Source organism: Homo sapiens, chromosome 3 (genome assembly GCF_000001405.40).
Source record: "Homo sapiens chromosome 3, GRCh38.p14 Primary Assembly".
NCBI lineage: Eukaryota > Metazoa > Chordata > Mammalia > Primates > Hominidae > Homo > Homo sapiens.
Window position 1 is genome coordinate 43,078,949 of NC_000003.12, and position 27,218 is coordinate 43,106,166.

At 47.7% G+C, this 27,218-nt stretch overlaps 1 protein-coding gene and 1 long non-coding RNA gene across 5 annotated transcripts, besides 5 other annotated features; one reads left to right on the plus strand and one right to left on the minus strand.

The window, feature by feature from the left end:
* Positions 286-27,131, minus strand: POMGNT2 (protein O-linked mannose N-acetylglucosaminyltransferase 2 (beta 1,4-)). Of its 4 annotated transcripts, XM_017007353.2 has the most exons (4): positions 26,888-27,131; positions 11,540-11,661; positions 6,988-7,087; positions 286-2,588 (listed from the first exon to the last, which is right to left on the minus strand). In XM_017007353.2, the coding sequence occupies exon 4, from the start codon at positions 2,481-2,483 to the stop codon at positions 741-743; it is 1,743 nt and encodes a 580-aa protein (XP_016862842.1). In that variant the 5' UTR covers positions 2,484-2,588; positions 6,988-7,087; positions 11,540-11,661; positions 26,888-27,131; the 3' UTR covers positions 286-740. The 4 variants fall into 4 exon arrangements, with proteins under 4 accessions (XP_016862842.1, XP_011532465.1, NP_001424214.1 ...); XM_011534163.3 differs by lacking the exon at positions 6,988-7,087 and having other exon boundaries at positions 11,545-11,661; NM_001437285.1 differs by lacking the exon at positions 6,988-7,087.
* Positions 679-1,180: an enhancer, noted in NCBI's record as "H3K4me1 hESC enhancer chr3:43121119-43121620 (GRCh37/hg19 assembly coordinates)". NCBI's record gives its function as "activates a minimal SCP1, AML or CMV promoter by ChIP-STARR-seq in primed H9 embryonic stem cells {active_cell/tissue: H9 hESC(primed)}" and the evidence as "EXISTENCE:reporter gene assay evidence [ECO:0000049][PMID:30033119]".
* Positions 1,181-1,680: an enhancer, noted in NCBI's record as "H3K4me1 hESC enhancer chr3:43121621-43122120 (GRCh37/hg19 assembly coordinates)". NCBI's record gives its function as "activates a minimal SCP1, AML or CMV promoter by ChIP-STARR-seq in primed H9 embryonic stem cells {active_cell/tissue: H9 hESC(primed)}" and the evidence as "EXISTENCE:reporter gene assay evidence [ECO:0000049][PMID:30033119]".
* Positions 7,086-13,340, plus strand: POMGNT2-AS1 (POMGNT2 antisense RNA 1). The gene is made up of 2 exons (XR_007095896.1): positions 7,086-8,782; positions 8,864-13,340. It is a non-coding gene; the product is annotated as a POMGNT2 antisense RNA 1 (long non-coding RNA).
* Positions 18,528-19,028: an enhancer, noted in NCBI's record as "H3K4me1 hESC enhancer chr3:43138968-43139468 (GRCh37/hg19 assembly coordinates)". NCBI's record gives its function as "activates a minimal SCP1, AML or CMV promoter by ChIP-STARR-seq in primed H9 embryonic stem cells {active_cell/tissue: H9 hESC(primed)}" and the evidence as "EXISTENCE:reporter gene assay evidence [ECO:0000049][PMID:30033119]".
* Positions 19,029-19,529: an enhancer, noted in NCBI's record as "H3K4me1 hESC enhancer chr3:43139469-43139969 (GRCh37/hg19 assembly coordinates)". NCBI's record gives its function as "activates a minimal SCP1, AML or CMV promoter by ChIP-STARR-seq in primed H9 embryonic stem cells {active_cell/tissue: H9 hESC(primed)}" and the evidence as "EXISTENCE:reporter gene assay evidence [ECO:0000049][PMID:30033119]".
* Positions 26,899-27,218: a silencer, noted in NCBI's record as "silent region_14253". NCBI's record gives its function as "represses an Ori minimal core promoter by ATAC-STARR-seq in GM12878 lymphoblastoid cells {active_cell/tissue: GM12878}" and the evidence as "EXISTENCE:reporter gene assay evidence [ECO:0000049][PMID:35858748]".

The following is a 27,218-nucleotide window of genomic DNA, read 5'->3' on the forward strand; positions in this document are numbered from 1 at the left end:
TTGCGAGTCTTAATGTCTAGTTGAGCCCAAAAAAAAACCCATGGTGGATACAGCTCTTCCTCCCCTCAGCCCTCTCCTACCTACTTCTAGGCTTTTATCCCATGTAGGTGGAACTGTGATATTAGTCCAGCTAGTCAAGATGAAATCCAACCAGCTTGCTCACTTTGCCATCCTGGGCGCTTTCCCATTGCCACGTCTCCCTAGCTAACAATCAAGATTAAAGGGCACCTGGGTTTTGACGACCAGCTCCCCTTCCTCCCATCCAATAAGAAGACTTGACCAAGATGCTTAGAATCATTTAATGAATGTTCCAAACACACCCTTCACTGGGCTACAGGTAAATTTCACTGGGATGGAAGCAGATGAACCACCCAATCAAACAGTACATGATTACTCGGTTTCCAGAAATCTGGATACCAGAAAAACTCAGTAGGAAACATCAGGATCACCTAGCCAGAGGTTCCTTGTGATTCTTTGCTTCCTCCTCTCCTCTTCCTCCTCCCTGCTAAGGAACTTCTCCAGGGGTACAAATGTTCAGGATGGGAGAAGGGGAAGTCAGGTCCCTTATCTCTAGGGCAAAGAGGAGTGCTGTGACACCACACCCCAGAGACAACAAGATGATGTGGAGGCACAGGCCTGCTCAATAAATAGTTCCCAGAAGTCTCCACAGTGGGATTAATGGGCCCAGGGACGCTGAACTGCAGGAGCCACCTTCCCGAGGCCAGGCTGTGGCCTGCTCGCTACGTGTTGCACACCAGCACATCTGCAAAGGGTCCCAGGAGGATCTTGTTGAAGATGCAGCGGACCCACACCAGGTAGGTGGTGAAGGGCTTGATGTTCTCAGTGAAGGTGTGGTTCTGCAGAGCCAGGATGTAAGGCACGTAGGTGTTCTCCCCCTGCTCCTGCAGCCACACCTCGTACTTCACCTCCCTCACCTTCAGGTATTTAAGGTTCCATGGGATCTGCCAGGAGACAGTGAGGCGGGCCTCGGAGGCGCCATGCACTGACGCCTGGCACCGTGCCTCCCGCACCTTGCCTGGATATAGGCCGACTGTCCACTTCTGCTTCCGTGGTCCTGGCCGGCCCTTCACCACGCGCCGTATGGTTTGAATGAGGGACGGGATGTCCACCTTGGTGTCCTGGTAGATTCGGAAGAGCCACTCGGGGTTCCGGCAACAGAGATGCCGTGGGACCTCACGGCTTTGCAGGATACGGGCTTGCTCAGCCCGGTCCAGATGGGTGATGCCCCCCTGATCCCAGGGCCGCTCAGGGTGTGTGACTGTGTTCTCTGGCATCATGTTCCGCCAGGCTACATACTGGAGGTCCATGCCAGGCAGCATGGCCAGCGTCTTATAGGGAGTGTAGTGGTCGGGATTGACAGCATATGGGAAGAGCTCTACCACAGTTGCCCCACGGGGCAGGAAGAGGGTGGTGACCAGCTGGGCCCCATGCATGCTGACCAGCATGGAGGCATTGCTGACCAGCCGCACGACATCAGCAAAGGTGTGGTCCTCCAGGGACACTGTCACTGTCTTCATCTGGAACTCCTGGGCCAGTGCCAGCAGCAGCTCTGCCTCATTCAGAATGAGTCTGTTCTGGGTTCGGCTAAAGACCAGAATGTACTCCTCGCCTAGGGGGACTCCTGTGTGGCTCACGTTCAGCTTTTCTGTCATGAACCGTGCAAACTGCCGGATCTCATTGCCTGAGACGAGGATGTTGGCCTTCGGGCCCTGGGGCTGCACAAAGCCATACTGGTACCAGGTAGTGATCTTGGAGAGGCCCACAAAAGCATGGGAGAAGCACAGCAGCCGGCCCAGGGTCTTCAGCTGTGCCCGCAGGAGAGGCTGCTTGGGGCTGAGCAGCTTGTAGAGGTCGAAGTGTGCACCCTCGCCCCAGCCCTCCATGAAGAAGAGCCGTGCCTCGTGGGCCAGGCCGGGAAACTGCCGCAGGGTGTAGAAGAGTGGCAGCAGGTCGTCATGAAAGACGTGCATGAGGTTGTCGGGGTTGAAGCGGTTGGCGATGAGGGCCACGTCTGGCACGAACACCGGCTTGGGCATGAAGCGCAGGGCAGCAGCAGGCAGCTCCACGAAGTTGAAGTACTGAGTGTTGTGGTCCTCCACGGTGGATAGGTCGAGCAGGGCTGGCTGGAAGCGCCGGGAGCCCAGGTTGGGCAGCATGACAGAGGTGTTGCCATGGAAGAAGATGAACTCCTCAGCCTCGTTGGAGTAGCAGAGCCACTTGAAGCGGCAGATGCGGTCTGTGTGCGTGCGGCCCGTGCACACCATGTGTGTGCCGCCCTCCATCAGGATCTGCAGTGCCTTCGGGTAGTCGATCCTCAGTGCTGGGGCTGGCTCTGTGGCCTGTCGGCTGAGGGCCAGCTCCTCCTCCAGTGTGGCTGCATGCTCACGCAGCCGCACATGCTTCCACAGGACCGCTGCCAGCACCGACACCAGGAGGGCGTTGAACACCGCCGAGAGGTGCATCCTAATGCCACTGTGGGGCCCTAATGAGATGACGGCCACTGGGAAGCACCACAGGCCAGGCAGGCTTCACCCATCCCTATGGGCATCCTGAGAACTGGTGAAAGCCTGCAGGAGGAGAGAAGGAAAAGAAAAAGGAATTGGCAGTCTTCCTGGCATCATTACAAGCTCCTGCTATGTGCCAGGCACGGTAGCTAGGCTCTGTGTGCCCGCTACAGCACTGGATCCTTGCAGCCATTGTGCACATTGGTAGGCGTGGTAGATTAGACCATTGTTTAAAATATTCTCTCCCTCCCCATCGCCTCCATGTTGGAAAGTGCATCCCCACACCCGACTTTGGGCTTAGCCATTTAACTTGCTTTGGCCAGTGAGATGTCAGCAGACAGAACATAATCAAAGGTTTGGAAAGTGTTTGGGCTGGCCTTGCCCTCTTTATGACACTGCCATAAGAAGAATGTATTCAGGCTAACTTGCTGGCCCCAAGAGGAGCGAGATACGCATGAAGCAGAACTGCTCCGGCCATGCCCTGTTCTAGTTCAGCTGATCCCTCATGACTGAGTGGGCCCAGCCAAGAGCAGCAGTGCGATCAGCCAAACGCAGCCAAGATCAGCCAACACATAGACATCAGGGCTGAGCAACAGCTGATTAAACATCCCTGAAATTCTGGGGCTGTTTGTGATGAAGCACTGCTGCAGCAAAAGCTAACAAAGAGAGGCCATAGGAAAGACAGGCCATAGGAAAATCCCTTGCAGGGGCCTGACATTCCTGGACTCTGGGTAATGACTTTTCCTTAAATGAGAACAACTGGCATTGGAGATCTGTGAACACTGTTCCCAGGTTGCACACCAAGACCCCAGTATGCCGCCTTTGAGAGACACACACACGTATGGTCAGCTAAGCTTTGCTCCTGCTTAAAGCTCCTTTAGAAATCATGCCTGCTGGCTTTCAGAATCCCTTAGGAGGAGGGTAGAAACTTGTCCCCTCAGTGGTAAGATAATTGTATCTGGGTATCATCATTGAAAAATGTTTTGTGTACTGAGGCAAAAAAAACCAATAGGGTTTTAAATGCCCTCTCCCATATACACACACTGACAGAGAGGCCTGGCTAGGGGTAAGCATTTACTCCCTCTTCTTGCGATATTGTGAAGGGTATCATGCCTGCTCTGGGACCCAGGATTATTCAGACAGTTGAAGAAGCTCATCCTTTGTGACACAGGAGCAGCACAGGTAACAGCTGACACCTGCAGGGCACTGCACCGGGAGGGAGTAGCTGCTCCTTTATTCCCTTGTGGCTAGGTCCTGATGCAATTCCTGCCTCCCTGCAATGAAAAGAATCCAAGTGCATCTTGCCTAGAAAGAGAAGGTGTCTTTAGCTAGGTTCCCTAAGAAGTAGAGTCAGGGGCAAGGATTTGAATCAAAACAGTTTGAGAAATTATCCCATGAAACACGTGTAGGGGAATGGGAAAGTGAGAACAGAGAAGGGACCAAAGCCAACACATACAGGGTACATTAATGAGCAGTTAATGCCATGTGTAGCCTTCCTCCCATGATCATATGCTGGATATAGTATGGAAGCTGGGATACATGTCTATCAACTCCTGTTGGGCATTACTTAGTTGAAGGTCATTCCTGGAGGCATGAGATCTCTTCTGGCCTACTCTTATCCAAAGGTTGGGCCCACACATATGAATATATCATATACTCCCCACCTCCAAACTTCAGGAAATGAAAATTACCGTGACCAAGTATCATACATTCTAGCTTTTTTTTTCTAGTACACTGTATTCTAAGTTCATTAACAACAACAGAAACAAAACAAAACAAAAAACCTGCCCATAATCATCTTAATTAACTTTCCGACCTACTCACCAGGTTGGCAACTTACTGTTTAAAAAATACTGGTCTACTCCAGATGTTCTCAAGCCTGGCTGATTACTGGAATCCTCAGGAGTAGTTGCTAAATAAAAATCCATATTCCCAGGCACCAGTCCTGGAGGTTCTGATTCAGTAGGTCTGGAGTATGGCTCAGGCATCTGCATTATTTGTTTCTTTTATTTCCTGCCTTCTTGTGAATTACTTGAATTCCACTTTGATTTATCAGTAGTGTTTTTGAGTATATCCCTTGATATAGATTTTCTAGTGGTTGCTCTAGGCATCATACTATAATCTGTAACTTATCACAGTCTACTGGTATTGACATTTTACGTTTCGAATAAGTGTAGAAACTTTACCTCCACCTAGGTTCCTTTATAATTGTCTTATGTGTTTCCTCTACATATAATGAGACCCACATCAGACAGTAATTTTGGCTTCAACTGTCAAGTATGATTTCCTCAAGAGGGAAAGGATCATCTATTATATTCACCCATATTTTTACTCTTTATGTTCGTCCCTCATTCCTGATGTTCCAGGTTTCCTTCCATTCCTATATCCCTTCTTTGAAGAACTTCTGTTAGTTCACTATTCTTTTAAGGTCAACTTCCTGGCAACAAATTCTCTTAGTTTTCCTTCATGTCGAAATGTCTGATTTTAGCTTCATTCCTAAAGGATATTTTCACTGCGTATAGAATTTGGGGTACAGATTTTCCTTCTTTCAGTATGTGAAAAATGATGCTGTGACACCTCCTCTGGCCTCTGTGACTGCTGATGAGGAACTGCTACCCTTCGAATTGTTTTTCCCTGGAGGGAATGCATTGTCTCCTGCTGCTCTTAAGATTTTGTTGAGTTTTCAAAAGTTTGACTCTGAGGTGCCTTGGTGTGGGTTTCTTTGGGTTTATCCTCTTTGGGGTTTGCTCAGATTCTTGAATCTGTAGGCTCATGCCTTCCCCCAAATGTGGGAAATAGCCATTATTTCCTTGAAAACTTTTTCAGCCCCACACTGCTCTCCTAGGACTCCAATTACACCAATGCTAGATTAAAAAAAAAAAATTGTATTGGCCAGGGGCGGTGGTTCACACCTGTAATCCCAGCACTTTGGGAGGCCAAGGCGGGTGGATCACGAGGTCAGGAGTTCGAGACCACCCTGGCTAACATGGTGAAACCCCATGTCTACTAAAAATACAAAAAATTAGCCAGGCATGGTGGCGGGCGCCTGTAGTCCCAGCTACTCGGGAGACTGAGGCAGGAGAATGGCATGAACCCAGGAGGTGGAGCTTGCAGTGAGCCGAGATCGCACCACTGCACTCCAGCCTGGGTGACAGACAGAGCGAGACTCCGTCTCAAAAAAAAAAAAAAAAATTGTACTGTCCCACAGATCTCTGAAGCTCTGTTAATTTTTTTCCGGTATTTTTTCTCCCTGTTGTTCAGACTGGATGATTTCTATCATTCTGGCTTCATGTTCGCTGATTCTTTCCTGTGTCCTTTTTATTCCTGATTGAGCCCATTCAGTAATTTTAAAATTCTGCTTACTCTATTTTTCATATCTAAAATTTCCATTTAGTTTTTATAACTTCTTTTTTTTTGCTAAAACTTATCCTGGACATTTCGGTCATAATGTTATGATACTCTGGATCTTACTTAAATCTTCTATTTTAGTAGCTTCTGTTAAAACTGTACTGGTGGGGGAAAGGAGAGCATTGACTCTTTACTGTTGGGCGGGGGTGGGCATCCAGGCTCCCTACTCAGCCTCCACCAATACCATCGTGGCTGGGAGGGGGAGGGATACTCAGCACAGAGTGTGTGTCAGGGTGTCAAAACCCAGGCTCTGCAGTTGGCCTCCAATGACACCCTGGGGTGTGGATGGAAGTCTAGGCCCCAAGAGGACTATGGTAGTGAAGGACGTATGTTACTACTAGGCGGTCGTGAAAGTCTAGGCTTCCCATCAAGTGGGGAGGGTGTGGGGCAGCTGGTTACCCCTAGGCAAAGGTGGAAGTCTAGGCTATCTGATATGGTTTGGCTCTGTGTCCCCATCCAAATCTCATCTTGTAGCTCCCATAATTCCCACATGTTGTGGGAAGGACCTGGTGTGAGATGACTGCATCTTGGGTTGGGGGGGGTTCTTTCCTGTGCTGTTCTCGTGATAGTGAATGGGTCTCACTAGATCTGATAGTTTTAAAAACAGGAGTTTCTTTGCACAAGCTCTCTCTTTGCCTGCTGCCATTCACGTAAGATGTGCCTTGTTCCTTCTTGCCCTCTCCCATGATTGTGAGGCCTCCCCAGCCATGTGGAACTGTAAGTCCAATAAACCTCTTTCTTTTGTGAATTGCCCAGTCTTGGGTATGTCTTTATCGGCATGAAAACGGACTAATACGCTATCCATCTGGCCTTTACTAAAACTGAGGGGTGGAGGAGGAGGAAATTTTCCCTGGTGTTTTGCAGGAATGGGGTATTTACAGCAAAAAAAAAAAAGTTTTGCTAAACTGTTCCTTCTTCCAGTCCTTTGACAAAAGAGACCAAGCTTCCTTGGGGCTTTGTTTTGTTCTGTGCTCACTGGCATTCCTGGATTGTGGGCTTCTCTAGCACCACGGTAGAATATATAGGAGGCAAGAAGAAAACCCAGAGAACTCACCATTATGTTGTTCTGTGAGTTCCAGGATCCCCAGCTGGTTCACTCTTTTCTCCACCTTTCAGTCTTCCAATGTTTTATATATAATGTCCAGTATTTTTAGCTATATTAGTAAAAGGGATAGGGATAAATTTGTCTACTCTATTTTGACCAGAACCTGAGGTATCCTTGGCATCCTGCTTTTTTTTAACCAAGCTCCCAGGTGATTCTGGGGTACAAACAGGTTTGAGGAAAACCAAGTAGCTCTTAACCAAAGAAGCAGGCCATGAATCACATTACCACTTATCAGTTTAAAAGCTTGGAAATGTTTTCTTATTTCTTCTGTATATAAATTAGAGTAGGCTCAATGTCATCCTTATAATCACATCACCATCACTCAGTTGCTTTCTGATACATCTTGAGTCAGGAAGATGAGGATCACCATTTAGCTTGCACAAGAACCCACAACCCCACTGCCTAAGCTGTGGGCAGCAGTGAGCAGCCTACATGTTAGTTATGCCTTATTAATAGCAACAGCTAGTATGAGTTACTGTTCTGCTTTACTTCACTGCAAAATATCTTTTGGGTTTCAACAACACCTGTATGCCCATAGGAGTATGCCATGCATGTGACTCTTCCCTATCACGTACTATGGGGGAAAGACAAAGGGCCAAACGTTGCAGCAGGAACCCTGCAGAACTTCAGATCAGGTCTATCACTTTGCTCTGTGACACTGGACATGCTGCTATGCCTCTCTGGCTCCTGGGTGCCTGGATGATCAGATAAAGCATCACGCTGACCTGGGCTTCTCACCTGTTTAGCAATAAACTATGAAGCAGGATGCCAGCAATAAACATAAGCCCAGCTAAGCCAGGATACAAAGGAGTGGCTTCATTTTTTGTTCTCAGAAGGGAGAAAGGAGAGGTGACTCCCACTCAGGCAATCATGTCTACCCAGAACCTTAGAAGATGACCTTATTTGGAAAAAGGCTCTTTGCACAGACAATTAGATAAGAATCTTGAAATGAGATCATACTGGATGAGGATGGGTCATAAATCCAATGTGACTACCCTTAAAAGAGACAGAAAAGGACACACGGAGAAACAGAAGGCCATGTGAAGATGAAGACGAGACTGGAGTGATGTAGTTATAAGCCAAAGAGCCAGCCCGGATGACCAAAACCATTAGAAGCAAAATAGAAGAAAGGAAGGATTCTCCCCTAGAGCCTTCAGAGGGAGCATGGCCCTGCTGACACCTCAATCTTAGACTTCTGGCTTCTAGAACTGGGAGAGAATAAATTTCTTTCATTTTAAGCCACTAAATGTGTGCTAATTTGTTGCAGCAGCTCTAGAAAACTAATATAGGGACCATAAGAATTCATTTGAAAAAGGGGTTCTGTGCTCTTAAGAAGGAATTCCACTGCTACAAAGGTTAACAACCACTAAGCAAGTCCTCATTTTACGCAGAGAAGCAATTTGCCCAATGTCACACAGCAAATCAGGAAAAAGAATGGAAGTGTTCTAGAACACACCTGCTGCAGCACTGCCTCCCAGTGGGGATGACTAGGGAGACCAGCAGGTCACCAGCAGGCCCAGCTGTGCAGCTTCTGTGTTCAGGTTCTCATGAAGTTAGGACTCCACTTCGCCATCCACCTGCCTAGCTCCACGGCCCAGACCAGTCTGATATGGATGAGCTGCTTGAACCCTCCTGAGGGGTGGGGAACTTCTATCTAGGACGGTCAGAACACCTCAGTCTCGGGAAGCCAACTCCATACATTAGTTTGACTTGTGGATTGGCTCTTCTGGAGACACCTTTAAAGGTATCACTGATCAATCAGTAGCTATCACATCATCTCCCAAACCAGCCTGGCTCTCAGTTTCCAATGCATTACTGGTTGCAGGTAGCTCCCAGAAGAGGATATGCACTGTCTGGATAAGTTTGAGGATAAAAAGACAGAAAGACTTGGGTTCAAACCCCAGCTCCTCGACCTACTGCATGTCCTTTCTAAACTCAGGCTCCTCATCAATGAAAATGGGGGTACAGTACCCACCTCACAGGAATGTGGAGGTAAGAAATGATGTATAGTTGAATTTTGTGAATGGTGATACTCAACCACTTTTGACTTATAAGAACCACAATTTCATTCCATCAGGTTCAACCTAACATGTGCAGTATATAGTGGAGCTGAAAATAAAAAGGTTTTAAGGCACCAGATAGCTAATAAAGGGCCACTGGGATATAGACAAAACATTGGCATTTTAAAACATTTTGGACATACGTGGCTGCCTTCATCTGACTCAAAGCAAAAACTGATCAGTGGTGAGGCAGGCACTGTCACTTTTCATCACAGTCATTTGAAACAAAGGATTTTATAGCTAAGCAGGAGAAGATTCCTTCCAAAGAAGATGGAGACAGACCAGACAGTGAACGCTGTCACTATGTCATTGGTGGCACCTTGGGCCTGGTCAGTCGCCAACCCTCTGCTTCTTGGGCGTCCAGGTCGAGTGTACTGACAGACGACATAATGGACACTGTTGCTTCCCCCAGCAGCCACTGCCCTCTTCCTTTTCCTAACAACATCCCTAGTGTGCCCAGAAAGCCACCCTCCTGCTGACACCCACGAGGCTCAGAGAAGCTCAGACCTTGCACCTCAGGTGGACTGTCAGCAGAGCCTACTTCTTGGGCCAGTTACTGGCCCAGCCGTGGCAAAGTTACCTGAGTGGGACCAATTCAGCTGAGGAATGAGGTGTCGCATGCCATGTTCCTACCCACTGGACAGAAAAAGAAGGTGTTGTCCTAAGGCTGCTGGCTGCCATCTGCTGACCATGCGGAAACCAGCTTGAGGCAAAGACAGTGCCTAGGACGGCATGGCCAAAGAGATACAGACGACCCTGGTGACATCTCCAAGCCCCATCTCTGGACATCCTGCTGTGAGAAATGGTAACTCCTCATTGCTGAAGCCAGGTTGGGTTGGGATTTTGGCTTCCCACAGCCAGAACATTCCAACTGGTATGGAGGGAGAACTTGTTTGCAAAGTGTCATGCATGAGGCAAACATGCAGGGTCTGGCTGCATCTCCTGTTTCTGAGCTCTGTGCTCTAGCTTAGGGGGATTATTTGGCATCAGTTTCCCCTGGACTCTTCTATAACTTGGGTAAATGAAGCCCCCTCCCTAAGAAACCTTTTCATGAGACATGAAAACAATCAAATAGAGGATCTGCGACAATTTTCTATACAGGTGACACCTGCCAGTAGGGAACGAGAACTAAGGCCACCAAAGTGTCACAGCACGGGCAGAAGGTGGGCTTCAGTGAGCCCTGCAGGCAGGAAGTACCAGACCCCTCCTGAGGAGCAAACAAGTCCTCTGGCGTGGCTGTTTCCTGGAGCTTTCAGAGGGACAGAGATGTGATATCTGAACAGTACAAAGGCAGGGGCTAGGAGGCAGTCCAGGGAATGTGACCCAAGGACACCACACAATCCAGTCTGGTTGGAATGGATGGTTCACAAGGAGAAGTAGAGAGAAACTTAGAAAAATCAGCTGAGGGTGTGATGCCAGATCAAGGAGTTTGAACTGTATCTTCTAGGCAATAGGGAGCTATTATAGGTCTTGGAGCAGAGCAGCCTGGAGGTTCTCTGGGAGAACAGAGGTAGAAAAACCAGTTAGGAGCTCCCAAGCTCAGAGTCTCCCCATTTAATACAGGAGAGGAGAGCCTGAGTGTTAGAATGGGGGGCCTAGAAGGGAGCGCACAGAGGAAGCTGGTGGGTCACACTCTGCATGAAGTGGGCACAGGAGCATGTTCCTGATGGCAATTCGAGTCCCAAAGTCTGCAGATGATTTAAATTTAAATAAATTCTGATGAACTCAAAGCTCATCCTTTAATAAAACTTCCACTCATTCACATCTTAATGGGCCTTCTTGGTGGTGAGAGAAGAGGATAAAGTCACAGCTATGTTGAGGGCCCTGCAGAAAGGAGAATATAGTGGGGCCCTGACTTCATGTCCTTCATTCAGGTCTTCAAGGCTCTTGTGGAACACGGGCTGAGAACTTCTGGGCCAGCCACAGGTGAGAGGCCAGAGGTCTGTGGCTGCCTTCTTAGCTGGGTTTTAACATCACCTCCAGTCAGCCTTGTTCATCTCTAGGGGAGTGTCCCTGTGAGCCTAGAAATCCTGCAGCTGAGAAATCTAATTAAACTCAGTGTTTCCTCAGTCTTTTCCAACCCATACACCCATTGATAATAAAGAGAAACTCTCTCATGCCCCAAACTGACCTGTAAAGTTCAGTATCCCCTTCTCCCTCATTCATAAGACTCTCTTCTGCAAAGTCTGCTCCTCAAGACCAGTGGATTCTATCAACCTTTACTTTCTGAAATCGGTATTTTATATCAACATCTATCTATATATTTTACTTTTCAATGTAAAATTATATCACTGCCATGCTCTTTCAAATAGGCATGCCCCCAACTGGACATTCTCCATACAACCCCACCAACTAAGAACTACTGTGCTGAACTACATTAAAGTGCTGATATGACCATTTTTGACCAGTGTCCCATGGTCCTGCCATAAGAACCAACTAACCTTACCACCACCATGGTATGGACAGTTCTTCTCAAGAGAGGACACCTGCGTGCCCAGTAAGACATGCCCTCAGCTGGAGTTCCGACATCTGATCTCTAGGAGGAAAGAAGAGAAGCCAGGAGCTAGAAAGAAACCAGAAAGAGGGAGAGTTCATTGACATTTGAGGTTAGGAGAAGGAAAAAAAAAGGATAAAATAAGAAAAGGGACAAAAGGTTTAAAAAGAGAATGGAAAGACAGCAAGGAGAGACTGTCTTACCAGGGGGTGGAAGGGAGACCACCCTGAGATCCTCAGCTCAGATCTAGACCAGGGAACTGAAGAGGAACTCACACTGGGGTGGCAGGGAGGAAGGCACCAGGGAGGAACATGAGCAGGAGGAACAGTGGGAATATTTGTGAGTGTTTACCCTAAAGGAATGACTGGACTGGCAGTTGTAAGAGGAACTATGTCAAGCACAGTTCAAACACTTTTTGTATACACAAAATATCAAGGTGCTAATTTCAGACACTGATTCTCCTCCCACAAAGTATCTAGTGATAACTGTCATAGCTAAGGAAATGGTTGGAATTATAGGCGTTCCTAGTTCAGTTCACCAAGAGGGCCTGGAAGCAATGACAGTGCAGTAGCAATCAGTATACCCAGCACCCAGATCTGTGTTTCTAAAAATCTTTCTCTACAAAAAGGAACCAGAGCTCCTTGGAGAAATGGTTTATTCCAGGGCTAGGGCAGGGAAAGTACAAGACAAGCTTGGAACATTTTGTAGTGCCAGAATGTAAAAGTATTAAAAAAAAAATGATGGGGAGACAGTGAAAAGGCACAGGAGCCAGCATGAAAGAGCTCCCAACAGCTAAATCTTGGATAATTTTAGTACCAAAATTAAAAAGTAATAGTAATGAATTATAACCCATAGAATAAAATATCCATGAGTCAATATTGATATGAATAAATAATTAGGAGAGAAAGGACAGCTCTTCCTTAGAGAATTCCAATTAAAAAATGTAGAAGCAATCATGGAAATAGATCACCATTTGGCAAACATCACAGTAATAACTGTTGCAGGCAAGATCTGCTGATAGATACTAAAATTAGTGGGTGAAAAAGTATGATGAGAGGATATTTGCATAGTCTCAAAGATTCTTCCCATGAGGTGCATATTAATTACAAAGGTAAAAATAGAAACTACAGTAGAGAAGCCTGGCAGACATGCCCTGAACCAAGTAATCAAAATTAACATCACCTGTAATAACCTATTGACGTAATGTACCCCTTTATATGATGCACTGAGACAAGACCTCACTTCTGTGGTTTTCTTGCCCAAAATGCGTAACTTCAATCTACATTTCTAAATGGGGATTCGTGATTCTCGCTCCAGTTCTAGCTCTGAATAAGGTCTGTAGGTTAGCTAATAGAGAAAATCTTAAACCCAATTTAAGGGATGTTCTACCAAATACCTGGCCAGTACTTGACAGGGCTAAGGTCATAAAAGACAAGGGAAGATGGAGGAGCTGCCTCAGATCGGAGGAGACTAAAGAGACACAGCAACTTAATGCAGTGTGGGATTCTGGTTTGCGTCCTGGACCAGAAAGGGAATATTAGTGGGATGATTTTGAATAAGGTCTGCAGTTTAATGTGTTGTGTGAATTTCCTGGTTTTGATCATTACATTGTGCTCTGTAAGATGTTATTAGTAGGGGAAGTGGGGAGAAATGGTTTATGTAACTTTTTTGTAAGTCTAAAATGTATTCAAAATAAAAAAGTTATTTTAAATTATCTATTTTTAAAATAAATTAGATAAGAAACATGAGTTTTTGTTTTGTTTTGTTTTTTTGAGACAGGGTCTCACTGTGGCCTTGCCCAGGCTACAGTACAGTGGCATGATACCAGCTCACTGCAACCTCAAATTCCTGGGCTCAGGCGATCCTCCCATCTCAGCCTCCCAAATAGCTAGGAGTATGGGCACGGGCCACCAGCCTGGCTAATTTTTAAATTTTTTGTAGAGAAAGGGGTCTGGCCATGTTGCCTAGGCTGGTATTGAACTCTTGTCCTCAAGCAATCCTCCTGCCTCAACCTCCCAAAGTGTTGGAATTACACATGTGAACCACCACACCCAGCTGAGAACATGAGTCTCTATAAATATTAATGACATGTAAAATGACATGAACGTGGTTTGCTCTAAAATCCTCCAGCAAACAAAGTAGACAGACAGAACCCGACAGGGGGATACTGATCACTGTGGAAGATGGTGGAGTTCTTTATATATTTGTACTCTTTTGTGTTTACTTGACAAAATAAATAAGTTAAAAAGGAAACAGTAAAGAATTAAAGAAATCACTATTTATAAATTACAAGAGAATTCTGAAGAGTAACAAGAAATAAATCGATATTCAGGAAAAACAAAACTAGGCCCTCTCTGGAGAGATGGGAGGCAGATGCATGCCCTATGAGCTGATGCACATTTTGCCCGGATCAAAGAATAGCTTCCAACAGAAGCTAAAGCCAAAACAGACAAACCCAGGGAATATCAGCTAGAAGAGAGGAAAGACTTACCTCCAACATGAGTGGGCATCTCAGCCACCAGGCATCATCTCTCTAGTGATCATTCTGCCACCTGCCCCTCTCTTAGGCAGAATTGGCAGCAGGTGGGGATATGGGGCAGTGGCTGCAGGCAGGAGTCTAGGGTCCACATCTGGACCTGGCTGACTGTACATGCAGTGGCCAATCCCAGCAAAGCACTGAGATCAGGGCCTTAGGGCAAAGCTCATAAACCAGGAAATATGGGTGGGGGCCTTGTGAGGCAAACTGGCAACTAAGCAGAGACCAGCCTTTGAGACTGGAGGACGTGGGGGCTGCTTCTAATTAGCTGCTAAGTCTTCCCAATCCCCTAGTCCCTAACCCCTCCCAACTCCATCCTCCTATCCCCACTCTCAGGCCCTGCCAGAATAGTGTTGATGGAAGGCAGGACAGACTGGCCTGCATGGACCTGCACTGGGCATTTCAGGTTTCTGAGTTACCCTTCCAAGGGGAAAATGGGAAGAAAGTTTTGCTGGGGATGGACAGAGCAACATTCTGCTAGAAACAGCACGGTGGATAGAGCATAGGTCCTGGAGTTCTGATTGCCTGGGGATTTCTACCAACTTTACCACTTATGAGCAGGCAGTCTACACCGCTGTCTGATGAATACCCCACTCCCATACCCCCCAGGCAGGTTAGCTTTGAGACATGTTCTACACTGGTTCCCAGGGTTCCCCAGTGGGATTAAGTCCCAGGGTTACCCACTGGTAACAAGCGTGACACACATACTTTTTGGCTGCCTTCCCTTCCCTCTCTCACTTTCTCACTCCCCATTCATGTTTACAAGTCTATTGGGACTGAATACAAATCATCTACTTGTTAAAGAATCCTTGTCTTAGGATCTCAGGATCTGCTCCTGGGAGACTTAAAAAAAAATAGATCTAGTCCTGAATCCAGAGGAGAACCTTAATAAACATAGATATTACTGTATTTTGTCACTATGGAGACATGGAAAGCCACCCTTGCACTTCTACCTACTGTGAATTAGGTAGCCAAAGTGTGGTAGTAGGAAGCCAACAAGCAATTGGGCAGTCAGTGGTCACTACAAAACACTGTCAGTCTATTTCCCACACTCCTGTGGCACCTGCCCCTCCTCCCAACAACCTGCATAAGCCAGCCAAACTGAAGGATCATGCAAAATCTTCAGGAAGGTTTTCAAAAGACAACAGATGGAGGCAAGGAGTACATTAATCGGATCTCCAGCCCTAAAGAAGATAAAGAGGCCTTTCCCCATCACCACATCGAAATGTTCCTGGATAATAAACACACAATTCTCTAGGAGGAAAATTCACAATGTTGGAGAATAACTGGGCCAAGTTGCTTACTGGGCAACAGACCCAGTGATTTCCCCTTTCTCCAGACCAATTTTCACTGCTGTGGGGCTATCACAGCCTGGAGAGGCTGCCAGTCTCACTGACAACAGAACAGCAGCAAGGAGGCAAGGGAAGTGAGAGAGCCCAGGTGGGCCTCCTTGGCCTTAGAGACTGAAGAGACTTGGAGCTAAGCCGCTGTCTTCCACAGGACTGCAGCCTGGTCTGACTGACACTGTCTGCTTGGTCCTAATGTCTGACTGTTCAGGGCAGTCTGTGCACCAACTGCCTCCCCAGGGCACTGGCGACAAAGGGATAAGAATTCTTTCAGACTGAAGGCCTCCATGCCCCACTTCATCTGTCTCCTGGCTCTGCTGAAATGTGCAGGGGCCAGGATCCCAGCATCACAAGAAATATGACTGTGCAGTGACAAGGAACTCCCTCTCAGTTTTAAGCAGCCCACCCTCCTTTGTACACTTACTCTGAGAGCACAAAAGCAGAGCTGGAATGTGCCTCTCCTGCACCTGCTGTCCGTAATCCTGTCTCCCAGTGAGCCCACTTCTGAGCAGTCATGCAAGCTCACCCTGTCTGCAGTCAGATCTGGCTGGCACCCCAGCCTGTTGAGCTCCTGCTGCGTCTCAGTGCTATGCTAGGTCCCTCACACGCATACACAGCCTTGCTAAATCCTTCCTTGCCCCTGCTCAGCAGGGTGGTGCAATTTGTCTCCATTTTCCATCCAGAGAGAGGCTCAGAGGCTGAACCATGTGTCAACAGTCCAGGATTCAACACCAAGCACGTCCACCTGTGCTGCCTCTCAGAGACAAGGGCTGCCCAGATGGAGTCTTGCCATGAGGAGGTGAGAGGTGGCACTTGGAGGCATGGGCCTCCCAGGATAATACATTTTGTCTCTACTTAGTGCCTTCCTGAAAACAGAGGCTGATTCTTTAGGATGTGCGGGTGGGCATGAAGGTCCAATGGTCACTGATGCAAAGGACCCCACTGCCCTCTGGGCTTACAGAGCCTCCAATGAGATGGGATCCGTACAGGACAGATGGTCTTTGACATGAGCCATTCCACACAGAGGAATAAAAAACAGATCAGCCCTTTTCCTGCTTGGGCAAGGACATGACAGGTGCCCTAACAAAGCGTCCTCCAGCCTTGCCCCTGCTCCATGCCAGGACAGCTGCATGCTTCAGTGCTTCTCGGCTGTCTTGCCCTAAAGCGTTCCTCTATGTACTAGCCCCAACCCTATGAAGTATCATTATTCCCTATTTTTAGATGAGGAACCGGAGGTTGAGGAGGTTGAGTGACTTGCCCAAGGTTACAACAGGTGTGAAGCTTAGGTCTTAACCTAGTGTTCTTGGACTCTAAAGACTGTGTTGAAAACCACCCTCAAGATACAGAAGATCCAGTCTTCATTAAAGTGGGGCAAGGGGCAGAGAAGAGAAAGAAACACCTCAGACATTCAGAGAACTCAATCAGGGAGGAGCGAGCCCAAATAAGGGCACGCACATCCCACCCTACTTTGCAGCCCAGTCCCCTCCTGGACCCATGACAATGACCAGAGAATGCCACTGGCTGACCAGCTGAAAGTCATCAGGCTATGGGGCAGGGAGAAGGGAAGATGAGTGAATGCTGGGTGGATGTGATCACAGTGCTCAGTGGTGAAACTCTTGAAGGAGACAAAAGGGATTCAAAGGGGACCCAACAACCTTGATCCTTATTTGTTTGCTTTCCTTTAGAAAAGCGGAGGTAATCAAACTAGGAAAAGCTGCCTCTTCCTATCACTCCTCTTACTCGTGCCCTAAGCGGAGTTTTGGCCCCTCCACTGCTCTGGGACCAGCAGCTGATTCCCGTGCTGTACCTCCCATCCCATCCTGCTACCAAGGATCCAATCGGCACCTGAAACTGATTCCCAGATTACCAACAACTATTAAATATGAACCCACTCTTACCTTGAAAAACACACTCAAAATCACCAGCCTCTAACACTTTATGTTCCAGGCAGTATACTGAACACTGTAGGTATATTTTCTCATTCAATCTTCAAACCAACATTAAGAGGCTAACACTATTTCTATTACTCCATTTTATAGATTGGGACACAGAGGCTGGGAGAAGCTAAGTAAATGTGTCCAAGTCCCTCAGCATGTACAGAATGGAGGCAGGATCTGAACATGGATTCTAAGCACTGTCTTATGTTAATAGCCCAGGCACCATTTGGACCTCACCTTCTTGGCATTCCAGGGCCACACAGACCAGGGTACTTCAACACCACCATGTTTATCTGCCTCTGCCTCCTCTATATTGGGCACCAAATTTAGAGACCAACTGGAGTGGGGAACAAAGGGCTTAGTGGCTCAGCCAGGACAAAGCATGATAAAACAAAAATTTTTTCAAAAGAAAGAGAAAAAAGAAATCAACAAGAGATTAAAAACATGCCTAGAAAATCCCTTTAGAAACTGAGGCAGACAGGAGGAAGCTACCAATTCACTCCCCCAAACCACTTTACTAAGCTCCCAAGAGCAGTTAAATGTTATCAGATCCCCAGACTTAGTGAATCCTCCTTTCTAGGATCCCAGCTGTTCCGAGCATCAGAGGATAATGTCAAAAATGCTGTTGCAACTGCAGACCCCAGTAACAGCTGGGCAGGTGGGGTGGGGCCACTTGCCTTGGGGAGCTCACCACGTGAGGGTGGTCATTGGTGCTGGGTGCAGGCTGTACTTCTGGGGGCCCTGGCCAGCCCCAGACACGGGCACAGAAAAGCCCATAAGGGCTTTAAGGTTTGATAAGGAGTAAAAGCTCCAGGAATTCTGGGCCCAGAGTAGGAGGTGCACACTCACATGCCTGCTAGGGCCGGAGCCAATGGAGAAAGTAAAGCTGAGGGTGGGCTGTGTGACCTGGAGACAGAACACCTAATGCCAGCTGATGAGAGAATGGCGGGAAAGCAGCCTGGTGGTACCTATCTGTATCAGTCTGCTTGGGCTCCCATAACAGAATACCAGACTGAGTGCCTTAAATGACAGAATTTTCTCACAGATCTGTCAGGGTTGGTTTCTGGTGAGGCTTCTCTTCCTGGCTTGTAGATGGCCTCTTCTCTGTGTGGTGGGGAGGGAGGAGAGGGGCAGGTGAGCAAGGGGGAAAGGGAGGGAGAAAGGAAGCCGGGAGAGGGAGGTGGGGAGAGAGAGAAACACTCTGATCTCTTTTCCTCTTCTTATAAGGACACCAGTCCTATCAGATTAGGGCCCCACCCTTATGACCTCATTTAAGCTTCATTATTAGGATGATCTATCTCTAAACACAATCACAGGGGGGTTAGATCTTCAACATATAAATGGGGGGAACATGATTCAGTCCATAGCAATACTCTTCTGATTTTCCCAGAGAAGCAAAAATCTATTTAAAATGTGAAATGTCCTCATTTGTAACTTCTGGCAATTATTCAAATTGAGTGAAGACAACGTGCACCAAGGCCTGGGGCTGCTGGCCTCATGGTTGCCAGTTAAAAACGGATGCTCATTTGCAAGCTCTGGTCTAAAGCAAATCCCCTGTCCTGCTGGCCTCACCATGGCCTGTGCCCGGGTTCCCAGTTTTGTGACTGCCAGAACCAGCAGCTCACCGGTCACTCCTCCACAAGAAGGGTTACAGAGGTGGAGGGACCAGACAGCCAGCACCTGCCAGACCCAGGCTGCAGAAGATCAGGCAGGGCCCAGGCCAGGAGGGGGTCAGCAACGGTGCAGAAGGTTTTATATTTTACTTTCACAGCAATTTGACTTTTAAGGATTGTTCACACTTCCAATTGAAAATTATAGAAATCTTATTTTGTCACTGAAAAGTGTTTTTGTCCTAAATGCAGCCTGAAGTACTAGTGCTAGATTGTGGAAGCTTTCAGTCCTGTATTGATTTGTTGTCTTACATGTTGTAAATTAGTAAGGAGTAAACATGTTTCACTAACTCAAGCTTATCCTCAGAATGATCTCTTTCCCCCTCCTTTTTTTTTGGTTATCTGAAGTAGTATATGGAACTGGTATTAATAACATAATGCTTACATTTGCTCCTAAATTAAATATTAACCTAATGCTATTGATAAATTCGGCATTTATAGATCAGGTTTTCTGACCAAGGTATTTATCCTTTGGCAAAATCTTGGCAGTCTGAGTGGTTCTTGTAAAACTTAACACATTTAATTATCAAGGCATATTTAACATTTAGTTAAGGGCTCACTTTCTTAGATTAAAACTTTGACATGGGTAGTATCTTCTTGCTTTAGAATAAAGAGCAAAGCAAAGTCAAAGCTGGAGACATTAATCCACCATCAATAGCTGATGACTGTGACTATATTGCCTTATCAATAGAAAAGGAACCCCTTCAAAGCAGGAAAAACTCCAACAGAATTCAAGTCTGTACTACTTTGGTGAGAAGGGTGATGTCAGTCTTTGCTGAGGATAAACCAAGGCTTGAGTGTGGGGCAGGACGTTCGGCCTTCCACCAGCTCATATGCAACCCTCTCACCGGTTTTCAGCCTCCAAATAACGCAGAAACCTTTGCTTGCCACACAGCCTGCCGTGTCATCTGGCTTTTGCTTAGCACAAATGGGTCACCTGGAAGTGACATGTGCCTGTATTGGTCCTCTCTGGCATCACTGTGTACCAGTGTGGTCATAAACGGGGATGAAACAGGGAACAGAACGGTGGGAACCTCTGTTGTGTGGCTCACAAAGGTAATGGAGAACACGCCTACACCAGGTTTTCTAGGTGGAACTACAAAATCAAATGAAAACAATTCTTACAGGGAATGCTCAGACCCCAGTGTGTACACAAATCCAGATGGACCCTCAGGCCCAATTTGAGAGGGTTGAACTGATCAAGAGAGCCAAAAACACCCAGTATAGGAAGCATAAAACATTCACAAAGAAACACGAGGAAGTGTGCACAACAAGAGATCATCCAGGGAAGCTGGCTGGAGGGTGGGTGAGTTTTGAGCAAGTTTTTGGAGGTGTTTTGGTGGTGATGGAGGATAAGATGAGCATCTCTGTTATGTGTCTACATGTCCCAATTACTCATGACTGCTACAAATCTGTCTGCAGCAAGCATCACTGTCTAGTTCTCACAAATGTCCAGCAAACCATGAGGCCTCCAAGCCATGGGCAGTGATGGCCAGGCCCAAAGCCATGTGCAGTTCAGTGGGCACTGCATACCCAGACAGGTAAAGGTCGGGGAGCCCAGGCTGTGGGGCAGGCACAGAAGTGCCAGGGAAGGCAGGAGATAAAGCTGCCAGGAGACCTGGGTTTCAACAGTAGAGCCCTATGGGCTCAGGTGACTACTTGCAAAGCCTTCTGCAGGGTGACGCTTTATGGCAGCCAGGTCCCTGCCAGATACCCAGGGACCCTGAGATCCCACATCAGCAAGCAGAAGGAGGTGACAGAATTAGGCTGAGTTTTCCTTTGGTCTCATTACCACCATGTCACCCTCAACTCCTCCCTTTCCTAATAATAATGATATTATCATAGCTAAGATCTACTGGCCAATCACTAGGTGCCAGATTCTTCACTTTGCAATGATAATCTTTATTTTATAGATGGTAAAAATCAAAGCTCAGAAAGGTTAGAAAGCCAAGTTTACAGAGGAAGCAATGATAAGACTAACCCAGGTAGGCTGGCTACAGGGTCTGCGATCTCCTTCTTTTTATCTGGAAATAATTTTAAATTTACAAAAAAAGTTGCATGTATAGGACAAAGAACTCTCCTACACTCTTACCCAGATTCACCAACTGCTAATTTGACATCTTTGTTTAATCATTCTCTCTATATGCAGTCAGCCCTCTATATCTGCAGGTTCTGCATATGTGACTTCAACCAACTGTGGATCAAAAATATTCAAAAAAAACTTAAAAATACAAAAAAAGTATCAATTTAAAAACAATATAGTATAACAACTATTTACATAGCATTTACATTGTATTAGGTATTATAAAGAATTTAGAGATGACTTAAAGTATACAGGAGGATTGTGTAGGTTATATGCAAATAATGACACCATTTTATAACAGGCACTTGAGCATCCTTGGATTCTGGTATCTGTGGGGGATCCCGGAACAAGTCTCCCTGAGGAGGGCAACTGTATACAAATTCTCTCTCTTTTCTGAATCATTTGTAAATAAGTTGAAGAAATCAGGCCCCTTTAGCACTCAATACTTTAGCATGTATTTTCTAAGAATGAAAACATTCTCTCACACCACAAAAATTAACGAAATGAATATTGATACTATAATGACAATGATATTATTATTAACATATGGTTTCTATTTTCTGGTCCAGAATCCAGTCCAGGATGAAGCATGGTATCCAGTTATCACCGCTCTCTAGTCCCTTCCGATCTGGGGTAGCTTCTCAGTCTATCTTCAACTTATGATCTTGACAATTTTTAAGAGTCAGGGCCAGCTATTTTCTAGTATATTCCTCAATGTCTGATGTTTTCTCATGATTAGGTTCAGGTTATGCATTTTCGTGAGGAATTAGAGTCTGTACAATTAGTCATTAATACAACCCCACCCTATGTGAGTCTTTCTGGGACACTCACCTTGGGGCAGCCAGGATGAGGAAGGACTGAGAACCCCTATACTGTGTAGGATGCTAGAAGGAGTAGGGCCACTTTACTGGAGAAAAGAAGCCCCTGCACCCATGGTGTCTTCAAATACCTGAGTTGCTGCACAAGAGTGAGGCTGCTCCTGAGGAGTGGATGCAACCCCTTCTACCTGACTGGACACACATGCATGATGGTGACACGTGCAACCCAAGCCCTAGGCACAAGTGTGGACTATGGGCACATATGATTCCCATTCTGTCCTGCCCAGCACAGCTGTGCCAGCTGCTCAGGGACCTAGAGTAAGAACTGCAAAAAGAAGTCATGGGGAGGTGGAGCTCAGCATGGTCAGTTGGAGGAAGACTTTCCTAAAGACTAGAGCTGTTTGAGCATGGAGGAATCAGCTACTTTGTAGGGCAGTGAGCCCCTGCCTGGAAGTGGTCTAGCAAAAAACAAAAACAACCCATGTGGACTACTCCACAGCGGGGATAGGGCTGGCCATGGTGTCTTCCAAAGCAGGACTCAGTGGATCCGTGGACCTGTTGTAGCAGTATCACCTGGGATCTGAGAAATGCAGAATCCTGGGCCCCACTTCAGACCTGCAGAACCAGAATCTCTCTGAGATGAGGACCCAGGAACTTGTGTCTTAATAAAGCTTCCAGGTGATTCTTGCGTGTGCACAATACTGAGGGGAACTGCTCTGAGGTTCTTCTAACATTTCACAATTTTGCGATACTCAGCAAGGCATTTCTATCTAGCCCAGGTTAAACAACTAATTCAATTGAGAATAACCCTCCCCATAAGTATCAGTAAAGGCTAAATAAATTCTGTTCCTACCTTTTGCTAAGATGATGCATAAGCCTAAGCTCTGGGACAATCTGAGAAGTCCGCCAGACTCTAAGCTCCCTTTTGAGACAAGTTGCCCCAACCCATTCCTTCCCACACAAAGTGCACCATTTGTGGTGTGGGAGTGGCAAGAAACGAGTCCAGGTCTCTTGGCCACAGCTAAATGGACTAAGGATGGAGTCTGGGTCTAAAGCAGCCACCAGTAGAGGACATAGGGAGATGGCCATCCCTGCAGGCCAGCAGAGAGGAGGTAGGTCCCCCGAGAAAGAAGCCCCTGAACAGAGCAAATTTGGACAGCATCTCCAGTTCCTTACAATGGCTACTGTGTGACTCTCTTGGAAGCTCTGGGACCCAGCACAACTGTGGCAACTCCAGATGCCACTCCAGGATGTGCCATGATTCCTGCCACAAACCTCCACTGTCAAAGGACCCCGGGGTGTGTTTCATCACTGGGTGTGGCAATACAGCAGACCAGGTCCCCAGTCCCTTCCTAAGGCTTAGCTCAGGGCTGAGGAGCAACTACACAGCAAAGAAGGGGCCTTCTCTTAGCCTTTTCAGAATGGAGAAAACAGATAAATTTGTAGCATAAGCTTGTACCAATGGCAGTCACCACTGGCAGAGTGAAAGATCTGATTCTCTTAGAGGTGCTGGAGTATGTACCAGTGCAGACATGGGAAGCCAGAGAAAACAAAAGGACTTGTCCAGGTTAACTAAGAAAAAAAGGATGTTGGCCTCTGGGTAGGGGATAAAGATGAATGGTCTCACCATCTTACTTTACTGAGCACCTACTATGCGAGAGGCGCTGTCTTAAGCCTTTTTCCTGACCTATTTCATTTAAGCCTCACCCTCCAATGCAGTACCAATATTATCCCCATTTTCTTTTAACATGAGAAAACCAAGTTTTAGTGGAGTTAAGTACCTTGCTTAAGGTCTTAAAGCTCAAGAAGGGCCACCAGGATTTGAACCTGCCTCTCACTAAGGTCTTGTTCTTAGTACCGTGCTCATCTGTCATCAGACTTGGAGGAACACTCAATGGCAGATAAGCAGAGTAGACTGTAGAGCAGTGAGTTTTTATTAGTCAAGGGCAGAGCAGGTGTGGTGGCCCTGGAAATGTAGAACCACAGGCCCTGGACTGTAACTTAGCAACCCAAGGCTTCTTGCTGTAATTCCTCCCCACCCAGCCAGGCAGAGGGTACCCAGCTGTGACAGGTGGCTTAGGGAGCTGTGGCCATTCTCTCACCCTAAGGAGAGTCTAAGTAACATACTAGTGTGATAATTTATCCCATGTGCCCTGGTACTGTGCTGAGAGGGTTAGGCCATCAATTTAGAATTACAAAACCACTGCCCTTTAGAGCTACAAGAACCCTTAGAAATGATTTCCTCCAACTCTTTATTTCATAAAAGAGGTCTGGAGAGGCAGTGTGAGCTCTCACAGGCAGCCAGGATTAAAATGGCAGAATGTTGGCTCTCAGTCCAGGGCTCCTTCTCCTCCCTTATCCACAGCTCAAGGGCTGCTCTCCCTCACAAAGCAAAGATAAGGCTCAGAGAATTATGCAGCCCCAGAACATTTCCCAGGAGCTAAACGAAGGCATTTCTTCTCATACACAAGCTTCCCAGATCCCACCCAGCCTGCACCCTCACCCAGCACTGCCCCCTCACCCAGCCCTGCTGTCCAGTGATGAGACCCTAAAGAGGCGACAGGGCTTGCCTGGGCTGCCTCTTCCTAACACCTCCTCCCCTGAACTCACTCAGGGACTGTCCCCTACAGCTTCACCATGCATCCAACACCAGCCACAGAGAGGAAACACACAGCCAGGCTGCAGGGTCCTGCCTCTGACCCACTTGGTGCGGGAAGACTCCCTGCTGCAAGACTGGAGGCTGCCCCAGGTCATAACTGGGCTTCAAGAATGCAAGAACAGCAAGGACGATGGGCAGCAGAGAAGGAGAATTACATGGCACCAGTTCTGGAGCTGGAGATGCCAGGATATGAATTCCCATCCCTGTCACTTAGCAGCTAAGTGACCTTAGGCCAATTCTTTACCTCTCCAAGCCTTCACTTCCTGGCTTGAAAAACACAATTATACCTACTTCACAGGGTAGTTTTGTGAATTCAAAGAGACAGCAAAGGCAAAACACCATGTCTGACAATTATTTTTCTAATATTATTATTAATCGTAATGGTAAAATAACTCCTGTTCACTGGCTTTCACTCTCAGCCAGGCACAGTGCTAACTGTTTTACACGCATTATCTCATTTATTCCCCACTACCTGAAGTAAATGCTATTAATTCAATTTCACATTTAAGAAGGTATGCTTAGAGGCATTAAGTGAATTGCCCAGTGATACACAGCAATTAAGTAGAGGGGTTAGGATTCAAAACCAAGACGGACTCCAAAGCCCGTGATGACATTTGCAGGTTCCACCTTTCACATTCATTATTTCATCCAATTTAAGAAACCCTGGGAATCACGTGATTGGTAGGTCCTGGGGGGAAAGTATCCCACTGACAACCAAGCTGAGATTGGCAAGGACCCTTGGAATGGGGGATTTGGTAATCTAATTTTCTAGTTAGTGCAATATTTACTAGAAGGCTTTGTTTATTGCTAAATATTTTCTAAAGCAAGGCTCAGAGCAAGAACTTGCCAACTAGCATGCTTACATGGCCACGGTGGGCCCAGCCACCAGCACCATGCCCTCCTTTCTGCTGAAGATCTCCACTCTCCTTCTCGTTCTCGCAGGGGCCCAAGGCTCAGGAAGGAACGTGCTGACCACCCCTGGGGATGAGGGGACCTATGCTCTTTCCTAGCTCTGCAGGGACTGAGATTCCTCAAAATTAATATTGAAAGGATGAGCTGGAAGATCTGCAAGATTCATGAGAGCCAGAGAGGGCAGCTAGTACCATTAAAGATGAACCTGGACTCCAAGCACCTCTAACACTTTCTGTCGTTAGTCACCACGACTGCTGATATTTGCCACACACTTACTGTTAGACATACTGGGCTGAGGACTTGCCTGGCACTATTTCATCCCCACTGCAACCCCGTGATAAAGGCACTGTACTTTCATCTCCACTTCACAGAGAAAGAAACAGAGGCTAAGAGAGGATAAGTGACTTGCTTAAACGCACACCGCTAGTAGCCGAGAACCAAGATTTGAAGGCGGGGCACATATTGTAGTAAACATTTGGTGAATGAAACCTCCTCTGTCTATGCTCTTAGCTACTAAGTCCTATCAAGCTCGCCCCATAACCCTGAAGTCATCCTTTTCCACGCGGAGCCTTGCTTCTCCCAAGAGTACGCTCTAAGTGTTGGCTGGCAATAAAGTAGGCAGACACTGGTCGCCCTGCACCTGGTGCAAGACTCTGGCCTGACGGTCACATACTTTAGCAGAGAGTTCCCATCAGTGAGCTGGAGACGGGTTCCTAAACACACACATGGAGTCAGGAGTTCACTGGGTTCCTTCTTCAGAGGCTACTCTGGCACTGCCAAGCAGGCCGTGGCAAGCTCTTACCACCGGACACACATGGTAGGTGCCCTACTGGCCCCCAAAGCGCCCAGGAATCAGCTGCAGGCCTGCCGGGGTTCTGCCTTCAAAGGCAGTTGGGGAGGCCCAGGCCCGCTCCGCGCACCTCGCGTGGCTCCCCACCACCCCCGCCAAATGTGCACCACCCATCACCTCCCAAAGCAAAAGGGCCTGAGGACCCGACGCCAGTGCCTGCCACGAGCTGAGGGCTCGAACTGGCAAGCCCCAGGGCGTTGCCCAGGTCCCCGGCCCCCGGCCCCCGACCCCCAATCCCCGGCCCCCGACCCTGAGGGTCCACCCCCGCCCCGCCCACCTCCCGCGCCTCCCTCAGCTCGCTTCACACGTCACCCCTCAGTTCTGCAAACTCTCCTGGATCCCGAAGGCGTCCTAGAACCTCCCCCTCACCCCGGGGCCCAGCACCGCGTCGTCCCCTCCAGGGGGCCGAGGGTTCGACACCTCCACTTCAAGTCCCAGGCGGGTGTCGGAGTCCGCTCCAGCCCCAAGCGCGCGCGCGTCTTACCTGAAGCCTGGACTCCGCGGGACGAAGCCACCTCCGCCGACGCGTCCAGGAGGCCCCACGGCGGCGCCGCTTTCCCACCCCGCCGCCGCCCCCAGCGCCAGCTTCTGGCCCAGGAGGCCCAGAAGGCCCAGGCAGCCAGCACAGGTTTGGCCGCGCCGCCGGGTTCGCAGCGACCGCCACCTCCAGGCTCGCAGGTGTCCGCCGTGCGCCTGCCCGGCGGGCGAGCCCGGCGCGGAGCCTGTGCGCCTGCGCAGAGCCGCGAGTTCGGTTGCCCTGGCCCCGGCCACAACCTTGGCTCGCGGAATCCTGGGAGGTGTAGTTTTGCGTACGA

Coding starts and splice junctions, on each gene's coding strand:
- POMGNT2 (NM_032806.6), bottom strand. CDS start 2,483: ATGCACCTCTCGGCGGTGTTCAACGCCCTCCTGGTGTCGGTGCTGGCA.